At 39.3% G+C, this 20,418-nt stretch overlaps 1 protein-coding gene across 2 annotated transcripts in view; it reads right to left on the bottom strand.

Annotated features, from left to right (window-relative positions):
- Positions 1-20,418, bottom strand: part of RSAD2 (radical S-adenosyl methionine domain containing 2) — a 32,355-nt gene that overhangs the window by 10,652 nt on the left and 1,285 nt on the right. The window contains exons 1-3 of one of the 2 annotated variants that reach the window (NM_080657.5): positions 9,442-9,811; positions 4,056-4,217; positions 424-653 (exon numbers count right to left, since the gene is read on the bottom strand). In NM_080657.5, the coding sequence (NP_542388.2) occupies positions 424-653; positions 4,056-4,217; positions 9,442-9,787 (738 nt within the window). In that variant the 5' untranslated portion in view covers positions 9,788-9,811. Of the gene's footprint in view, positions 1-423; positions 654-4,055; positions 4,218-9,441; positions 9,812-20,418 lie in introns of those variants that run through there. The other variant, NM_001410702.1, reaches the window with a different exon arrangement.

The following is a 20,418-nucleotide window of genomic DNA, read 5'->3' as shown; positions in this document are numbered from 1 at the left end:
AGACTTTAACCCTAATGTCTTCTAGAAATTCACTGCATCAGAATTTATGAGGAACCGGTATCTGTCCATCCATAAGCCAAGAGTTTTAAAAATAAATTTAGGCTTTCTATGAACATATTCTTCCAAACATTTCAAAGCACTGAGCATATTTTTTTATGTTTATCCTCACAATATTTCCAAAGGAAATCATATCATGTTTTCAGAAAAGGGAAGTAAGGCAAAGAAAAGTCTAGTTTTATGTCTAAGACAAAGAAAAGTATAGTTTTAAGTCTAACAGAGCTGAAAGACCAAGGACCTGACTTCTGGACTGGCTTGCGAGGTCCAGAGTTCTCTTGTATCAGTATTGTTTTCAGTTTCATTGAAAAAAGTCATTCCTGAAAGTTTTCTTGAAGGAAATCAGCAAAAGCGACCTTGTGTACTTACTTTCCAGCGGACAGGGTTTAGTGCTTTGATCTGTTCCGTCATGTCCTCTTCCACGTTGAAACGATTAATGACAGAATTTATCTTGAAAGCGACTCTATAATCCCTACACCACCTCCTCAGCTTTTGAAGGTTTTCCACATGGTTCTTCTTTCCTTGGCCACGGCCAATAAGGACATTGACTTCCTCGTCAAAGCTGTCACAGGAGATAGCGAGAATGTCCAAATACTCACCTGAGGGAAAATGATCATGTTTAAACTTTTCTATCCAAGGACCAAGCCCCTTGGGCTATTTAGATCTCTTGTGATAAAATATATCTTGTTTAAATTTTTAAAAAGACACTTTTCCTTATACCCACAAAACTCATTGAGATATGAATTTTACTTTCTTCTTGTGTCAAACCTGAAAAACTAAATATATATGTAAAATAATGATGCAAATACTTAGTTGATTATTTGAAAACTCTACACATGTATGTGTGTGAGCACTTACTGATATATTTAAATGAGGTTTTTCATTTATTCCTGCATACAAATTATGTAATTTCTGAGGCAGGTAGATATATTTGGATGCCTCTAGACTTATTTATGAACAATTATAAATTTACTTCTTTTTCTTTCCATCACACAGATAAAATTGCTCTGTTGAAGATCCCTAGTATTTTTGCTAAGTTCATCCGCTTCTTCTGGACATCTTCTTGACAGTTGTCTCATCATCTAAATATCTAGAGACATTCTATGTGATGTCAGAGACAACTGTGTTAGATGCCAAGAAAACCAAGAGAAAGGGAAGCCTGGTGTGGGAATAAAGTGTAAACAGACCCCTCCTTGCAACATGGTATGTGAAGAGCTGTGACAGCGTGTCGTTTTGGGAGCACAGCAAGTGTTCACAATTACCTTTGCTTTGGTTTCTGTCACACTAGTTTCTACTCCACCTATCTTATTATCCCTCCAATTTCCTCTGCTCCTTCATGCTATCCACTTATCTCTTAAGTACAGATATTCTCAATGGCTGAGTCACTCCTTGCAGTTGATTAAGTCTGAGTTTTCCTAGTTTTGTGACTTTTTAAGAGTCGACTCTTTTTCTTAAAATTACTTTCAAATTATAGAAGCTGGAAATTCCAAAAACTCTTTAAGCAACTATCCTCTAATATTATAAAAAGAGTCATTTTAACTCCTATTTTGGGCTAATTTTATTTTATCCGTATGTAACATACGCCCTCAAAATATCTAGCATAAACTGGAGCCAGAATAAGGCAACTGTCCATAATTTAAAACAACTCAAAACGTTCTAAAAATTGATCTCAAATAAATTCCTAATGGCATATCACATTGTGAAAAGGCAAGTAACTGAGCACCTGATCTCCAAACAGACCAGAAATTAAGTTCAAAACCAAAAACATACAGCCTTATCAGTTATACTAAAGACAGACCTAGTTGATTTCCAAGTCATCTGAGGATCTGTAAGTCAATTGCTATATTCTGCCGCCTTTCCAACTTTTGCTATGTGTCCATGATAACTATCCTCCTGTCCTCAGCTTTTCCTTGCCAAAGCTCTTGGGAAGAGAGATTTAATGGAGCAGATCTGTTTGCTCAGTCCCTACATCTTTCCAGGAAAACCTGGAACCATGGTGGAATCTTGGCCAATCCCTGCACATATGGTAGCTACAATATTCTATATATCATTGGTGAGGTGTATAAACCTGGAGCAATGGGGCATGTTGAATCAACTTGTCAAGACTTCTCAGGATTGTTTAACAAGATCCATGATTTCCTTGGTTGCGTTGTTGGGGTCCTGAGTTTCAGTTCCAATAGCTGGTTACATAGCAGCATGTGCATAAATGACTAGCCCTGTATAAAGCCTCAGACCCTAAGACTCAAATGGACCTTCCTGTGCAAAGACATTCCAAATATGTCCCTATAGTTCACTGCTAGAGAGAAAGTACAACCTATGAGGCCTGGGATGGAGAAGGACTCAGAGCCTGTGTCTGGACTCTCTGGACTCTGGTGATATATGTCTTTACCCTGCTGTTTCTGTTCTGTATCCTTTATTCTAATAAACCCTAGACGTGAGCATAGCTGGCTATTGAGTGTTGGAAGTCCTTCTAGCAAATTACCAAACTTGGAGAGGTAGTGAGGCCCTAAAACAGCTCTCTTCATCCACTCAACACATAGACCCATCCCTGACCCATTAAGCCAGAGGTGGAAAATCAGCAGCTTATGGGCCAGATAGGCATCTATAAACATTTGTTCCTCACAATGCCTAAAAATATTTCTAATTATTTTCAAATATTTATAATTGTAGATTTTTGATCTATGTTTAATAATTTGAGGATCATCCAAATTCTCTTGCTGCACAAAAATCAATGAAACCTCCTAGTTGGCGCTCCACTCATGCACTATAGGAATATGGCGCGATGCTTCCCGTTCTCCACAGTCTTCATGCTTTCCTATTGTCTCCATGCTGCTGACAGTGTCTTTTCTTATATGCTTCTAAATTCACTAATTTATACCACTTTCTCCCACAAGCCTGAGAGATTTGACCTGGACATGCAGTACTGTCCCTACTCTGCACACCATGAGGACATCCTGGACGGCTGATCTTGGAGGAAGGGCATTGGCTGGGTACCCACCCAGAAAACCCCGCCAGTTGGTCTCCATCACACTGCTTCCTCAGTTTCTTTTTTCTCTCTCTGAGTATGGTTCCCAAAGTTCACTTTTGAACCTCAGACTCCCTGTGTGAGTGACAAAGTGCCTCCCTTCACTACCATTTTGGTTTTACACGCTTGTAGGCCCTTCCTAATTCACCTGCATCTGACACCTTGACTCTTCTCTACCTGCTTAACCCTTATCAGATGGACCCTCCAACCCACATCCACAGCGTCCCTCCCCCACAGTCCATGTCCGCACCATCACAGATGGGGTATCAGAGATGTCTCAGCAACATCCTCAACAGATTATAAATGCAGTTTCCCTTTGAAAGACTTCAAGGCTCCAACAGCTCATATAAACAAGAACAGAGAATTGTACTGTAACAGATTATACCTGTTTCCCAACATGACAGTCCATATAAGAAGAGCTAATGTTTTCCAAGCTCTTGCTAAGTTTTAAGAACTGCTATATGGACATGACACCTGCAGAAAACTGAACTGCGAGGAATCTCAGCAGCCTTAGAATTCAGCAGTTCTTAATCCTGGCTACATGGTGGAATCCCTTGGAGCCCTCCACCTTGGCTAATCCACACACCACGAGGTTCTGATAAAATTAGTCATGGATCCAGTCCAGTCCCAACAGAGATATTTTATTACAAAGCTGTCAAATGTGTTAATTTTCCTACCTAGTGTCTAAACTAAGGCCATAGATCTTGTATTTGCTAAATTGCAATGTACAAGATAGTCATCTCAGTAAAAGGTCTATTATCTAACTTGCCAAACTTGTTTACTGAGAGCCCTAAGGAACTAAAACTGCCATAATGCCGTGCACAGCTTGAAAAGCAATTAGAGTAAGCAAGATTAGTTTTTCCTCCCTTCCAGTTCCTCAGCAGGCCTGGCTGAAGGCCCAGGAGGGAAGGAAATATAAGAACCAACAATAAAAATAGCAATAGCAATAAGAAGAATGCCATCCCATGGAGCACACCATAATTCTGGAACCACCTCTCCCGGATCAGGCTTCCATTGCTCACGATGCTCACGCTGGGCAGCCGCAACTCTACTTTGCAGAACCTCACCAACTTGCCCAGGTATTCTCCCCGGTCTTGAAGAAATGGCTCTCCACCTGAAAAGTTGATCTTCTCCATACCTGTGCAAGGTGATACATGAATTTTACCACTTCACAAATATACATTATTATTTTAATAGCAAAAGTAGTATTTTCTCAATGTAAAAAAAAGAAATAAAACTTTCTCATTAATTTCCCCTCCCCTAACCCTAGTTCCCAACACCAATCCCACCCAATGGGAATAGCATATGTTTAATTCGGGATCTAAACAGGGATGCAGGGAACTGGTTACACAGATGAATAGACTTGCTCAGACACCAAAGGGTACAATGAGGCAGCACCAGGATTTGCAAAGCATAAAGCCACATGCCTGCCATGTGGCGTGACTGTCCACGGGCCAGCTGCCAGCCTGAGAATGACACTCCTCCTGACTCTGCGTTTCCCATCCCCACTCCTTGTCCTGGATTCCGCATCGCCCACCCTCTTGGGCTACTCCCTTATTTTGGAGAATCCCTTTACAAGCTTCCTGAAAAAAACGTAAAGCAGGAATTAAAGTGATGACTTGTATGCCTCAAAATGCATTGGTGATCAATTGTTTGTCCAGGTATCACATTCTAGGTGAAGTCATTTTCACTCAGTTTTAAATGCTGTTGTTCAGAGGCCTGATAACACCCTCGTTTGTACTCCTTTGTAAGTGCATGGCTTTTTCTCTCTCCAGAACCTTTCTTCCTAATGTTTTGGAATTTCAAGACCGGGTGTCCTAGGAATCTCTCTCTATTCACTGTCTGGCCACCTGGAAGGCCTCAATCTCAAATCATAGCTCTTTATGTTATAAAGAAAAATCTTCTTTTACTATTTGCTTATTCACCCCTTGTCTCAATTTTTACTTTTTCATCTTTCTGGAACTTCTATTACTGGAACATTGGAGTTTCTAAATTTAACCACTATTTTCTTATCATCATCTTCCTTCCTACGTCTATCCTGATTTTTTGGTCTCATTTTGGTTAAGACTTTAACTTTTCGTCTTTCTATTAAGATTTTAATTTTAGAAACCCCATTTTTCATTCCCCAGATGCTTCCATATTCTGACTATTCCTTTCCAGGCATTCTATTCTTGTTTCATGTATGCAATTCTTTCTCTTATCTCTCTGCAATTACTAGTTATAGATTTTTTTGGACGTTTTCTTCTTCCTACATACTCTCTGTGTATTTGTTTTGGTGTCTGCCTCTTCTTTTGATGTTTTTATTTGTTCATTCAAATTTCAGTATGGCACAAAATAGCAGAATGGAATTTCTGTGATGAAGGGAGGGGCTGGTCCAAAAGAGGGTTTCACTACAGAGAGACAGAGAGGTAAACTGGTTTATTCATAGGAAAACCTCCAATTGCTAATATCCTTGGTCTTTACTCTGGGGTCATTTTGTTTTCTCAGAGAAGAAAACATGTCTCTTGCATGTGTTACATACCTGCCTGCCTGCATTTTAGGAGGATGGGGTCTATGCGTTACACACCCACCTGCCTGCATTTTAGGAGGATGGGGTCTATGCATTACACAACCACCTGCCTGCATTTTAGGAGGATGGGGTCTATGCATTACACACCTGCCTGCCTGCGTTCTAGGAGGATGGGCTTGTGCGTTATACACCCACCTGCCTGCATTCTAGAAGGATGGATCTATGCGTTACACACTTGCCTGCCTGCATTCTAGGAAGATGGACCTTTGCAACATACACCTGCCAGTCTGCATTCTAGAAGGATGGGCCTGTGCGTCATACACCTGCCTGCCTGCATTCTAGGAGAATGAACCCGTGCAAACCTCTTTCTTGTCTCTATTAATCTGTATCTGGCCTCACCATACATCACCCAAGGTAATATGGTTAAAGCTTTCAACCCTTAAATAACCCATGGGGAAGGAATTATTATCTGGTTTTTAGTGGAAGAATTGAAGCCAAGAAAGGTTAAACACTTGCTGAAGATCATAAGGCTAGAGAAAAGTAGAGCTAGGGTACATGCCTAGACTCCAAAGCCTAGAGTCTTTATAAGTAGAGAAGCCTCCAGGCTGGTGTGCCTGGAACAGTTTTGGTTTATGGTAGATGAAACAGTATCTGTGAGTGAGTTTTAGTGCCCCCTTTCACTCTCAGATGTCTCTATGATTGGACAGTGAGGCATTATATCACCTCCCTATTTATAATCCATCATGCTGGGAGGCAGTTTGAGTGACACTCATTATAACCCGAAAACAAAACAAAACATAATTACCTAAGAAGTGTGGTGATGTGATATAGTGGCAGATAAACTGGAGAAAGTAAGACAGGGTCCTGGCCAGTGGCACAAAACTGCTAACAATTTTGAGGAGTATATTTAGAAGGGATGGAAGAATAACAAAAGGGAAGGAATAGAATTTAGAGGCATAATTAATATCTTAGACAAGGAGTAATTTATTTACAATAGTGTTAACATACATGAGTGATCATATTACAGCCCAGATCTGATGCTCATTATTTTTAATTCTATTCAGTCTTTCTGAATAGAATTTCAAAACAGTTTAAAAGCCAGGAAAGTAAATAATATATTTTAGGAGCATCTTTAGCCAGAATAGTAAATTTTAATTTTAAATATAATATATAAAAATATATATTAAAATTTAAATTTCAATGTGAATTTAAACCTTTAATTACCACTGACAGATCAAGAACACCATCATCTCAGACAAACACCACCACTTTAAGTTCCAGCTCCCTTTCTAGCCTCATGCATTTCAAGGAAATCACTTATCTTCTAACCACAAGCAGCCAGAAAGAGCAGACAGTAAAACACAGACAAGACAGCTTGAGCACAGAGGGAGGTTGAGGGGAAGTCTTTTAGGTAACTGCCAAACTTCACTGTCATACAATGGGTCCCAGTAAAACAGTGGGCCTAAATAAGCACATTAGTTTCTCTTTAGTGTTCTAAGATAGGGAAGCTAAAAGCAGATTCAGGGTGGGTATGCCTGCAGCTGCAGGAAGATGTACGGGAACAGACACACAACTCTCCCTCCCAGATAAGCACAACAAAGAGAAACAGAAGCAGTCCAAGTCTCTAATAAACCCTCCCACGCCAAATCCTTAAAACTCTTAGTCTGTAAGAGAGTGGGCTCTGACTTAACTCAGCCAGAAGCCCCTCTCAGGTTTTTTTTCTCTAAAATAAACCTGTCCTTGACTGTGGAGCCACCTTTTGTGTTTCTTTCCTCTTTCTTTAATTCTTACAACCAAAAAAATAGTTTTCCTCCATTATCTAGAAATCTCTCTTACAGGAAAATACAACCTACACTATCATGTAAGCATTTCAATTAACTTTTGTTTTACTTACTTAAACTGAGAGGTTATTATATAAAAGTATTAATTATAACTATTAATAATAATTTATCTTTTATGACAAAAATACATGAACATTCACTTGTTTGTGCCTTGTACCAACTTTTGAGATTGGTTTATCAGTTATCATTATTATCTAAAGATAATTTTAAAGATCATGGAACTGATACTCAGAAAAGCTAAATGTCTTGACAAATCTAGTAAATGTTAGAGCAGAAACTCAAACCCTGGCTTTCTGAATGAAAGTCGTAATTTCCCTCGACATATCTCCTTATTCACTCACTCATGCATTCATTCATTTATCTAAAACATTTCTTAAGCCTCTATTACTTTCTAGACATCCTGTCAGGCATGAAGACACACAGGAGGGTAAAATTCAACCTTGGAATGCAATTTCTTTGAGGAACCAGACATTAAAAAAAAAAACTGAACAAAATAGTACATTTTAAAAAGCTGCAAGACATATTTGTACCAACTGCTATAAGCTCATAAGTGAAAAGTAAAGGGCATAATTATGGCTGCAGAGGATCAAGGAGAATTCAAAGGAACTTTGAAAGTTCACCAACAAGATTTGAGGACAGACATTCTAGGAAGAGACAACAATATGACCATCATTTTAACAATTTTGATGTTTGGAGAAAATGAGTGTGACAGGCTGTGTCTACAGCAGAGGGGACCCAAGCCATCAGGGTAGCAGAGGCTGAGAGCAACATTGAGCTTGCCAGGGGCCTTGACAACGATGCTCATAAGAAGGAGAGTTAGGAGTTAAATCACCAAAAGTACATTTTAAAAAAAGATCAGGAGTTTTCAATGGGGCAAGCAGAGACAGTGAGTTGAATTACAGTAATCCTGGTGAGAAATGATAGGAATTTGAGTTAAGCCACACTGGGAATGGGAAGTCAGGTTCTCATTTGAGCAATCAGCTTTGGGTAACTAAGCCAATGTAACGTGGAGCAAAGAAGTCAGATCCAATATAGGACCCACTGTATGATTTCATTTATATAAAGTACAGGATCAGGCAAAATGAATCTGTGTGTTAGAAGTCCAGCAAGTGCTTACCAGGGTAGTGGCTGGAGTGCAGCATGCACTTCTGGCGCTGGTGATGCTTTCTCTCTGAATCTGCAGGCTATTTACCTGGCTGTGATTGCTTTGTGAAATTCATCAGGGTGCACATCCAGAATATGTGTAATCTGGTGCATGTATGCTATGCTTTTGTTAAAAAGTTAAACAAGGAGGGAAAGAAGCTAGAGATGTTGCTGAAGTTACTAGTTGAGAAGGTACTCTAGGAAAGACAGGAAGACAAGGACGGAAGGCAGAACAGATCTGGAGTGGAAGATATTGCATTCGAAGGTCACGTGCTGAGTTCTCTCCAAGACGCTGCCAGTTACTAATGTGGTGATGCTCAGTAAGCATTCTTGAAGGCTAAGTCCTTGACATATTTGTTAAAAAAATTTTAAGGTTTCCTATTAAAAGAATATACACAAACTCAAATATAAGATTCAACTACTGCTATTTTTATGTCAAAGTTTTTGTTTTTGTTTCCAACTTTTCTAATTATTAATAACTGTTTCTGGAAAACCCAAATTCGTTAGTGTTGTGGGCAAACTCAGAAAGTAGTACAAACTTCCCAAACCGCCTCTTTCCAAACACCAAGTGTAATAGGGACCTGCCCTTTGCATAGACCCCTTCTTGCTTCCAAATGGCAGGAGGGACAGGTTTGCTCCACAAATCCCCTGTTCCAGCCCAATTCTGTGATTTAGGAAGGACTAGGTGCCCACTCCAAAATTCACTGAATTATTTTCTCATAGGACAACATGCTCACCATGCAAGGGTAAATGGTGACCTCAAGCTTTGGAGAAGCTCTCCAGCTTGTGCATACCCCCAGCCCCTTCTCGCCTTACCCCACTGCCCAGTGGTTGAGAATCCTGATTTCTGTCTAGGACCATGTACTCACCAGCTTCCTTAAGCAAAAGCAATCCTCTCTTTGCTTCCTCAAGGGGCAGCACAAAGGATGTTTTGGCTGTGTGGAAACAGAAGCCGCATTTGTAGTTGCACTGGCGAGTGAAGTGATAGTTGACGCTGGTTGGGGTGGTGGGCAGAGGAGGGTCCTCTTCCTCCTCTTTGGTCTCATCTGGCCCTCTCAGGACCAGCTGCTGCTTTCTCCTCTTGGTAGCTAGCAGCCAGAAGGTTGCCCTCAGCCAGCAGAACAGCGGGACCAGGCTCCTCCACAGAGAGCTCAGAGGTTGCCTGAACACACTCAAGAGCTTCCCAGCAAAAGCAGCAGGTGTAAGCACCCACATTGTGGCAGATGCCTGGAGCAGAGCAGTCTCTGTATGCCAGGGACTCTCTTTATATAGGGATGGAAATCAGCAGTCTCTGAGCAACCTGTCATTGGGGAGCAGGACACACCTTCTTTGACTAACACTCAGCTGAGTTAGAGTTTCGATTTTTCCACATGTGAAACTGAAAGTTGAAACAGGGCCAAGACTGAAGACTAGAGATCGGGGCGAGCATTCCTGGTTTCTCTGCTCACGGCTGCCTCAGTCCACTTGTATTATAACAGTCTCTCTAGCTTGATGTAGTTACACATGAGGATAGCAGTCTCTATCAATATCTAGCTCTCTGTCTGATAGAGATAGACAAGGTGCATTAATCAGCACGCTTTGTACTTGTTGCATTGCTTTCTCTTGACATAGCCAAGTAACAGTTTTTGCTCCATCATGGTGAAGGGGTTTCTTTTTAAAGCCAAATAATAAACAGACTGATTGGCTGGTGGAGGATGAGTACAGGATCATTCACCTCAAGACCCCTTTCAGATCACAGTAAAAAGGCATGGAACAAAATTGAATTTAGGTCTTATTCCATCAGCTATTCAGCCTAATTTATGCAAGGTGACAGTGTTAAAATTTAGATATTTACATCTTCCTATATTTTGATATCACTTTTTATAGATGTTTTTAACTAGAGGAAATCCAATGCTTTTCTAAGATGCTTCCTAATTGGTGAGAATTACTGCGACACATCATTTATTTACCTTTACAGTTTTTTTAGAAAGCCTTGTTGACCTTTTTACTGAAATCTTCCTTTTAGCCCTCTTTCATCAGAACTGTGTGTAAGTGTGTGGTCTTGTGCTTTCGTGACACCTGTAGGAAGTTGGAAGAGTCCTAGTAGCTGAACTTCCAGAGCCACAAATCATGTAGCTGGGTGACTGAGTAAGCGACTTTATTTCTCTGGATTTCCATTTCTTCATCAGCAAAGCAACGTATCTCAGGCGATTTTTGTGCAGAGTAAAACTGCTAATTTTTGTGAAGAATTCAGAATAGTGCCTGGCAAACTTTAAGTGTTCAGTTAGGGTTAGCTCCTGTTATTCTGATACTGTCATATTCTGAATAGAAACAGAAATGATTTATTTTACTTAAAAAAAATTAAACATGTTTAACTTAACATTTAACATCTGCAAAATTGTATGCTTAATGATTACCAAATATTCAACAGTAGATATGTCTCAGGTCCTTGAAATCTCAGCCCAAAGTTTCTTAAACTCTCATGCCATGGTCTTGCACAATTGAAAACCACTTTTGGATAGATCTCACTTCTTCATAAACATGTGATCATGAGAGGCATACAGGCACCTGTTAAATTTGAATCAAATTCTTTTGGGTTAACTTGGTTCCCCTTTCTGGCTGGAGCAACCTTTGAAGTCTCAAAGGTTAGGTCAGCACGATCCTAGTGGGGGTCTCTTGCAGGCATCTGTTAAAATAGGCTAGGAAAATCTTAAAGAGGCTCCAAATGCTTAGCCCAAACATAAGGAGGATCAAGACTTGTAGGGTGGCATGCAGAAGGAACCCTACTGCAGGGGAAGCCGGCTGGAAATATCTGGAGATCAGAAACTTAACCTAGAAGGTCCAGCCAGGAGGCTTTTTGAAGCTGTTTTTCAGAGATTTGGCTAGCCTTAAGATCTTAGATGTTTCAAATTCAACCTGCCTGGAAGTATTTACCCTGTGGAAAGTGGCAGCAACAGCACAAACATCACTCTGTGCAGGGAGGAGATAGTCTAAAGCAATGTGTTTGTCTAGGACCACACGAGCAAGGGAGTCTATGGACCTCTGTTGCACCCTGATGGCCTGGGTGGTAGAGCAGGCAATCCTGCGAACAGTTCAGGAAGGGTTTCTGATCATTTATGAATTCCAAGCAGAATCTAGTTTAAATTGGGACCGGAAAAACCTTCCTAATCTAGCTCCTTCTAGGGTTAACCCTTCTAGATGAATTATATCCTTGAGAGTATCCACAACTATTATCTTCATAATCTGAGGGATTATCATGAGTGTTGGATTATAGCTGTTAGAGAACAGGGCAGGTAGTGTTGGGGATAACTGAATAGATGGGAATTTGGGTAAAAGGTATTTCCATGGCCAAATCTCCTGGTGAGGATAACTCAAGCATTATTTCTCCTTTCTGGGAGAATAAAATATGGGCCTGGAATGTTTCTAAGAAGTCCCTGCCTAGGAAGTGTATGGAAGCCCAAAGGAAAAACAACTGCCCGTGAGGGGTACTAGTTGGAAAAGAATAGGTGAAGATTAGGAACCATCATAGGTTGGTTGGCTACCCCAACCATCTGGATGAATTCAGAACTCCAGGGAGGGTCCATGGAAAGCATGCTGGGGTTAAGGATGGACAGAGTAGCCCCAGTGTTGACCAGAGCTCTGATGAGTTTTCTCCAATCTTAATACCTAATTCCCCTAGTTGAATAATTCGAGTAGGGGAAATGTCCCAAGAGGCTCTATAGTTTTGCTTGAGGGAAGAGGGCTGGTAAACTTTATCAGGATTTAACTGTATCCAGATATTGTAGGAAATTAGGAGAACTCAGGATCCAGTCCAGTCTACAGGTAGAAAACCAGAACTTGAAAACAGTGCATAGGGCTTTAACCTAAAGTAGGTGCACGTTAGTTTTTCTTAAGAACATGACTTTTTCTCTCCACATTAATCATACAGGAACTTTCAGGTTTTAGAACCTCTAGAGGCTAGGAAGCCAAATCAAGGCAGGCTTTAGATTTTACTTAGGGTCTTAAGGTTCTTGGGCCTACCAGGAAGTGACAAGTTTTATGTATTCACTGTAAGGCTGGGAACTCTTGAAGCCAGGCATGTGATGACCCTTCTTAAATATGACTTTTCAATCAAAGCCTAGTAATATAATCAGTATTTCCAATAGTATCCTGCTTACAAAGGGAGAGCAGATTTTTACTGAACTTACAGAAATAAAATAAGAATGCTCACAAATAGTGTCTGAATTTTGGAGGACTCAAGTAGGGAGAAAGGCAAATGCTTCCACTTTTGTTCATAAAAGTATACTTCCCCAAATTATTGCAAACTATAACTAATGAAAGAAAAATTCCTTGAATCTGAAAAAAAATTTAAGTGTAGAACCAACATTTTAAATAAAAGTCATAAAGTTATCCTTATCAACTACTTACTTTCGGTTAATTAATTTTGCTTTCCTTAATTAGTAATTTTGGGCTATAGCTGATTGCAAATGCTTCTAGAGAAGAATTTAAAACAATAATCGTGGATGAGAAAAATCCAGAACAGCTATGATCAAAACTCTGATGAGAGTTTACAAGGAAATTGTAAGAAATAATGTAGAAATAATTGCAAGAAAATTTAAAAGAAAATTTAGGTATTTTTGTGGCATACAATCATTAAACTAAATAATCATACTCAAGACTGATAACACATATTATGATATATTAGTCAATTCTTGCATTGCTGTAAAGAAATACCCAAGATTGGGTCATTTATAAGGAAAATAGGTTGAATTGGCTCATTCTTATGCAGGCTGTACAGGAAGCATCATGCTGGCATCTGCTTGGCTTCTGGGGAGGCCTCAGGAAACTTAAAATCATGACAGAAGGAAAAGGGGGAGAAGATGTCTCGCATGTCCAGAGCAGGAGCAAGAGAGAAAGATGCTGGGGCAGGAGGAGGCGCTACACACTTTTAAACGATCAGATCTCACAAGAACTCACTATCCTGGGGACAGTACCAAGTTGACAGTACTAAGCCATTCATGAGGACCTGCTCCCGTGATCCAATCACTTCCCACCAGGTTGCACCTCCAACATTGAGGTTTACAATTTCAACATGAGATTTGGTTGGGGACACAAATCTAAACCATATCATATAACATCTTGGAATTTTAAGATCTCATGCAATTTGGAACACATATTAGTAACATATTTATATAAATATAACTTAAAGGGAGTTAAGCATCATTTCTTATTTGATATGCTTCCCATATGATTTGCCAAATAAGCCTAATCATTTAGTATCTCTTCAAGATCAAAAAGGCTTAATTTAGGGTTTTGATATTGAGGAAACCTGCCAAAGATGTCAAAAGGTTCAAAATACTTGATTAAGCAGAATCATATGTCACTCCTAAATAAGCAAAGTGATAATCAGAAGACTTCGAAAAGAATACAGATTTACATGGATGTGAAAACCCTGAACTTTTTAAAGTTCAGTTTCCCCAAGTAATCAAAAGCCTAATAAAAACAACATGAAGCAAAGGAATGATCTCAGCAAAACACAGACTCTTAGTTTACTAGGCCAGTTACCTAATAGGTAAAGGGGAAACAAACCTCCTTTAGTATGATTGCCTCTCCTTATGGAAAGCCCATTTGCATAACCTGAAAGTTAAACCTGGTGTGAAGGGTATTTGAATTTAATCAGGCACAGAAAGAATGTATCCAGAATTCTAAGCATATGCTATTATAGAGAAATGTAAACAAGAAAACTAGTACGTTGAACATGGAAATCCTTGGTTCTTAGGAATAGCATAGGAAGCTTCCTGGTTACATGGAACAATTCAGACACATCAAGAAAAGCCAAGAGTGTAAAATCAAGTTACAATGAAGGAAAACTTTGGTTTTCTAGATCTTCAAAATAAACATCTTAGCATCAGGCCATGACAGCAGTGTCAGAACAAGAGAAAAAGTTACAGGAGATGACAAAAAGGTTGAAGGAGATGGTTATCATTGTGGCCACGCAAAAAGAATTTACCTTTTCAAGGACCAAGAGAAAGAGAGCTGCATTTACAACCTGAAAACAGGAAAATTATATAGATCTCAGGAGGAAATATGCCAGAAACAGAAACTGTTTGTAGTTTAGAGGATTACTATTAAGGGAACAGATTTGCAAATTAAAAATTAAAACCTCTTGCAATTTTACTAAGAGCAAATCAGTATTTTAAGAAAATCTTGTTTTAATACTGGAGATCAAATTTTAAAGTTCTGTATCAGTGTATTTTTAACATCAAAGTTTAATCCTGAGAAAGACTCATATACGATTTCTTTTCAATTGTAGCCAACCTGAGTGCACAGAAAATTGCTTTTATCAACTTTCTTTTCATGCAGCTTATGATTTACTTAGACCTTTGATGACATGCTTAGACTTTCTTCTCTGTTCCATACTTCCTCTTTCTTAAATAACCAGTCATTTTACTGTAAGACAAAAATGTGTCACACAAGGTTCTTTCTCATTTCTCTTTTCTTTTCAACCTTCCTTATCAAAAAACACATTCTACCCTCCTCATACACTTGCAAACAGAATGCCCTCTGCCCTAAATAGCTTAATCACACACTTTAATCACCATACTATTTCTTAGCAACTCTAATTTTCAGTGAAAATCTGCCATACCGACAATCCAAGAATACACGTTTTACAATTTCAACAGACACAAGCTTTCTAACAGAACATCTTTTTAATATGAAAAAGTTCATTTTTACTAACAGATCCAAAGAACTCTTGTTCTTCTGAATTAAGAAGCCAAAAGTATGTAAGCCTAAACTCATATTTAGCAATAGTGTCTTAGTATTATCTTATTTCTAAATGATCTAGACATGCAATGAATATTAACCATTTAATTTAGCTCAGAAAAATTCTATAGCTATAGTTACTAAAAAGATTTGGAGAAGCCCTCCTAAGTAAACATATTACAAAACATAACCATTACCGAAAGTTAATTTAAAAATTTTTATCCCATCTGCATCCACCCCATCTATTCATTTTTAATAATTATGCCTGGAAAATTTCATGATACTTCAGGCAAATCTAGCATAATCTCAAGCTGTTTTCTATCAACCAACTTTATATTACTGAATGGCAGGCAAGTATAATAAAATTAAAAACCTTAATGTTAAATATATGCATATTTTTCTGATAACTCAAAGACATAGCCATTCTCATCAAACAAACAATATTAGACTAGTCTTATCCACCTAAAAATTACTAAGTGATATGAACTTGAAAAGCATTTTGACTTATTTGCTTAATTTATGAGTACTCATTTTTAGAAGCCAATCTGGTAGACAATATACTAACAGACATGTATATGCACACACACAAAAAAATACAGGTAGGCACAAGTAATGATCTTTTAGCTTTTATTTTAAAACTTGAGCCATGAGTCGGGTAAAACCCCCTTGTTTAGAAGACAGTTAGATTCAACCAGCGTTTCTGTAAATAAAGTAAGTTGAAATGTATCTGTCCCACATAGCAAAATCCCTTACCAAATTTTAGAGAAAAGAGGGTGGCAAATTTACATCTCAAATACAGAAAGAATTTAAGCTTTCTCAACAAGGAGTCTGCGTGTGCTAGAGGAGGATTAAAATTAATGCCAAAGTAACATAAATCACAGGAATTCATCACAGGACAAGAAAACACACAGATGAGTCTAGAGAAATAGTTTAGAACCTTTTCTTAAAATAACTAGGTGAAAACCTGAAAGAGGAAGGAGGGAATGAAGGATAAAGCTGGTGAAGAAAGGTGCAGAAGACAGGTAGAGCAACAGGCAAGGCAGCTAGTGGAAGAATGGTTTCAATGTTGTTTCTACAGCTTTGGTGTTGGTCCTGCAAGCGCTAATCTTTCTATTTCACTAATGTGCTCACTCACTTTGTAGTTATTTTCCCGAAGAGAGATGATGACTGCCTTGATTCCATTGAGGACTTTCAAAGTACCAACTGAAAAAGGCTTCCCATTGTCTCTGGGAGGTTTGGTATTTTCTTTTTTCCAGTTGTGTGTGTAGACTGGCAAGTTTTGGAATTTTAAAGGAGTCCCACTTTGGCCAGTAAAGTTTCAGATTATTTTGGGTAATTTTTGTCCAGAGACTTAGCCAATTACAACACCTCAAACCATAATTTTGGCTCGTAAATCCAGCTGGAGTGCCAGAAGGCAGCTGACCAGATAGGAAGAACTGAAAGCATGGCCTACTCATTGCAGTGACCTGACAAACTTGCTCCTTTCAGTGCCCTTACTGTGAGCATCCCCACAAAACCTTATAGACTGGCATAGACTGACTGAGAAGCCCTTGCTAAACCCTGGGCCAACAGGGAAAGTCCTCTCCAGCGTCTGGATGGAGAGAACTGGCTGGAAAGGCTTCCTCCTAAACTTGGGGTCAAGAGGAAATTTCCCCTTTGCAGTCTAGATGGGGGGACTGGCTGAGAATGCTCCCTTACCCAAGCCCATGGCTAAAAGAAGTTTCTCTTTGAGGTTCCAATAGATGAGACCTATGGGGGAAAAAATAGTCTCTGAGACCTCATCCAAAGCATGGAAGGTATGAATTCGGGAAGACTTACCAGAGGACCTCTCGACCCTCATTACCCCCACCTCATGGTCCCAAAGTTGTAATCCTGTTTGTGTGTCTGTGTATTTACATGCATGAAATGAAATATCAAAATACTCTAAAATAACAGTGAGTACTGTTCCTTGAAATTATTTAAGACAACTGAGCTCAAGGACTTCTTGGAGGCACAAATGAGTTTGTTAAGGACTGTGCTGGGAGAAAAATCAGGATTCTTTTCTTATTCCGCTTCTGACACTATAAATGTGAACAAAAGTTCTCCGAAAAGGAATCTGGAAGAAAGAGATTTTATTCCAGTGAATAATTTGCACCAGCCTTCAGTGTGAAACAAAGGTATTTTCCAGAGAACAAAAGGAAGTCTAGGGTTTTACAGCAAAAATCCCACCTAGGGTCCCAATCAGGTATATTTATGCAAATGAAGGATTGAAACTCACTTAGTTCTGATTGGGTGACATGGCTGCATCCTGATTGTTTTATACAACTGAGCTCTGATGAATCAATCCCATTGTGTTTTGATTGGTTGACCCAGGAGAGCTCTTCAAGCCCCAAAGTTAGAAAGGGTGGGCTTTCCAGGAAGTCACAGTACTCGTGTGACCTCTAGTCAGCAAATGGCTACTGGGTTTTATTTTAAATTCAGACCTAGTTGGCCACTTGAGCTCCGTCTTGAAGGACTATTTCTGTTCCACATTTGTTCACATCACAGATTTGTAGGCGTGCTGTTCCTATCATTGTAGTTGTAATTTCCAGTTCCCTTATGACCAATGATATTAAGTATCTTTTCCTCTGTTAGCCATTTGAATATTTTTTGTGTGTGATATGCATGTTCCAATCCTTTGCCTATTAGGTTTCCTGCATTTTATCATTAATTTGTAGAAATTCATTGTATATTGTACACTTTGTTAGTGATTGTACACAAATGTTGGTTGCAGACATCTTCTTTAACCTCTTTGGCTTTCCCTTTCACTCCTTCATGGGCCCAAAATTGTATTTGGGTTTACGTGTCTGTGTATTTACATGCATAAAATGGAATATCAACATGCTCTGAAATAAGAGTGGGCTCTAATCTTGGAAATTTTTTTTTTCTTTTCATGAGTGTGTATGTGTGTGTGTGCATGTGTGGATGTCTCAAGACCACCTTTATGCTTGATAATTCACAAACAGGACTCATAAGACTCAGGAGCATGTTAGACTCCCAACTGGGCTTTATTCCTCTAAAAGGCTGTAGAGCAAGAACAATAGGAAAAAGGTGTAAGTCAAGCAGTCTGGAGAGGGTAGCCATAAGCTTTTGAGTCCTTCACCACCTGAGTTGCACAGGGTGTGCTCCCTCCAGCAGTGAACTACCAGGACGTGTTTGAAACCACTGGCCAGGAAAAGCCTGTTTGAGTCTCAGGGTCTGCCATTATATGAAGGGCTAGATATGCAGGCACATCCTGCCATGTGCCCAGCTATAGTAACCAAATCTCAGGACCCCGACAATGAATGAGGTGCACATCGTTAATCTTGACGTTTGTGCAAAATGATCGCAAGCTGGCATGTCATGGAGTATTGCTCCAGGTGTACATAACAGAATCACCAACCATGAATATAAAGAGCCTCTGGAGGGTCATCTTTCCAAAGTTTGGCCCAACAGCAATCATGGTTTGAGGCTCCTGTGGAGATATGCAAGGGGTGAGCAGCTGGACCTGTTATGGCAACTCTTCCCTCAAAGGTAGCTGTATCAACAGCATTTCTTTGTGAGAAAACCAACTCCAAGAGAGAGGAGAATACTCTTCAAATTGTAAGCCCACAAATTGCTAGAATGAATTTTTATTTAAAAAAGAAACAGAAGGTTATGCGGGAGAGAGCTTATCTGTTCCTTGATAACTAAGTGATCTCTGAAACTTGCTCAGTGCTTTTTAGCCCTTTCATTAACTTCTAGCCTAGGATTTGGGTTACAGAGTTATAGACTCAACATTCTATCCTGGGCTCATTTTATTAATTCTTATTTTCTGAGCTCATCATTTATTTTATAATATTCACTTTTATGAATGTGGAATTGTTTGTAATATTCTCTTTTGGGTATCCTTTTGAACTTGTGGTTCTATCATCTCATTTATTCCTATTCTGATTTGCATTTTCTTTCTTTTTCCAATTGAATTAAACTACCTAGAAACATATCTGTTTAAACATGTTTTCAAAAACTAAGCTCTTTTTCAAAGTGTTATTTTTTCATTTTATTATTTATTAATTGCTATTTATATTTTTAATTCTCCCATTCTGTTTCTTTTTTTCTTAGGAGCAGAATGGCTAGAAAAGTTTCATTTTCTCTTGTTTAATACTGTAAGTGTTGAAGATTATGGCTTTTCCTATGATATAGCTGTGCTGTTCATTCATTTAAAGACACCTCTTTGAAGTATCTTCCCAGCCTGCAGCTTCTCTCCTTTCCACCTGCAACGATGGGTGGCTACAGGCATGTTTAGTCAATATAAACATCCAGCTGTGGCTCTCAGAGTCTCTGTCCTACAAATTTGAAGGGGCTTGAAAATCTAACAGAAATTTTTATTTATGAATGAAGATATATCTTCAACATCTTCAACACTTATATAATATTGACTAAGCCCAAATACTGCAGTGTTATTAACTTTACATCTCTTCGTAGGGCGAAGGTAGGTGAAAAATAGAGAGGAAAACTTAAATTAAAAAAGGTAAGATGCTTCATTTAGCAAACTGTGTGTCAGGTTTTCTTTCAGTTGGAGGCTCAGAGAAAAGTTAGGAAGAAGCTGGTCTTCCTACTTACCCTCAAGGTGCTCAGTGGTGGGAAATAGACTGGCACGTGACTGTGGAGTGTCAAGGTCCGAGGATACAAATAGCCTTGGTGGGGGACACAGGAGAGGCTACTAACCCAGATATGTGGGGGGTTATAGGCTATATCATGTCCCCCAAAATTCATGCTCAGGCCTAGCCCCCAGTGCCTCACAGTATGACTGTATTTCAAAATAAGGCTTTCAATAGGTGATTACATTAAAATGAGAACATTATGATGGGCCCTAACCCAATCTGACTGGTGTCCTTCCCAGAAGAGGAAATTTGGAACTTCAAGGAGACGCCAAGGATGCAAGCACAAAGGAAAGGTCCCGTGAGAACACAGAGAGAAGGAGGCGGTCTGCACGCTAGAAAGAGAGGCCTCAGAAAAAGCAAACCCTGCTGGCAACTTGATCTCCAGCTTCTCTGGCCACCTGAACTTTGAGAAAACAAATTTTCTATTGTTTAGGCGGCCCAGTCCGTGGTATTTTGTTATGGCAGCCAGGATAGACTAATACA

The sequence above is a fragment of the Homo sapiens genome, chromosome 2 (genome assembly GCF_000001405.40).
Source record: "Homo sapiens chromosome 2, GRCh38.p14 Primary Assembly".
Classification (NCBI taxonomy): Eukaryota; Metazoa; Chordata; class Mammalia; order Primates; family Hominidae; genus Homo; species Homo sapiens.
Note: the sequence above shows the minus strand (reverse complement) of the source record. Positions and strands in the feature narration are given on the sequence as shown.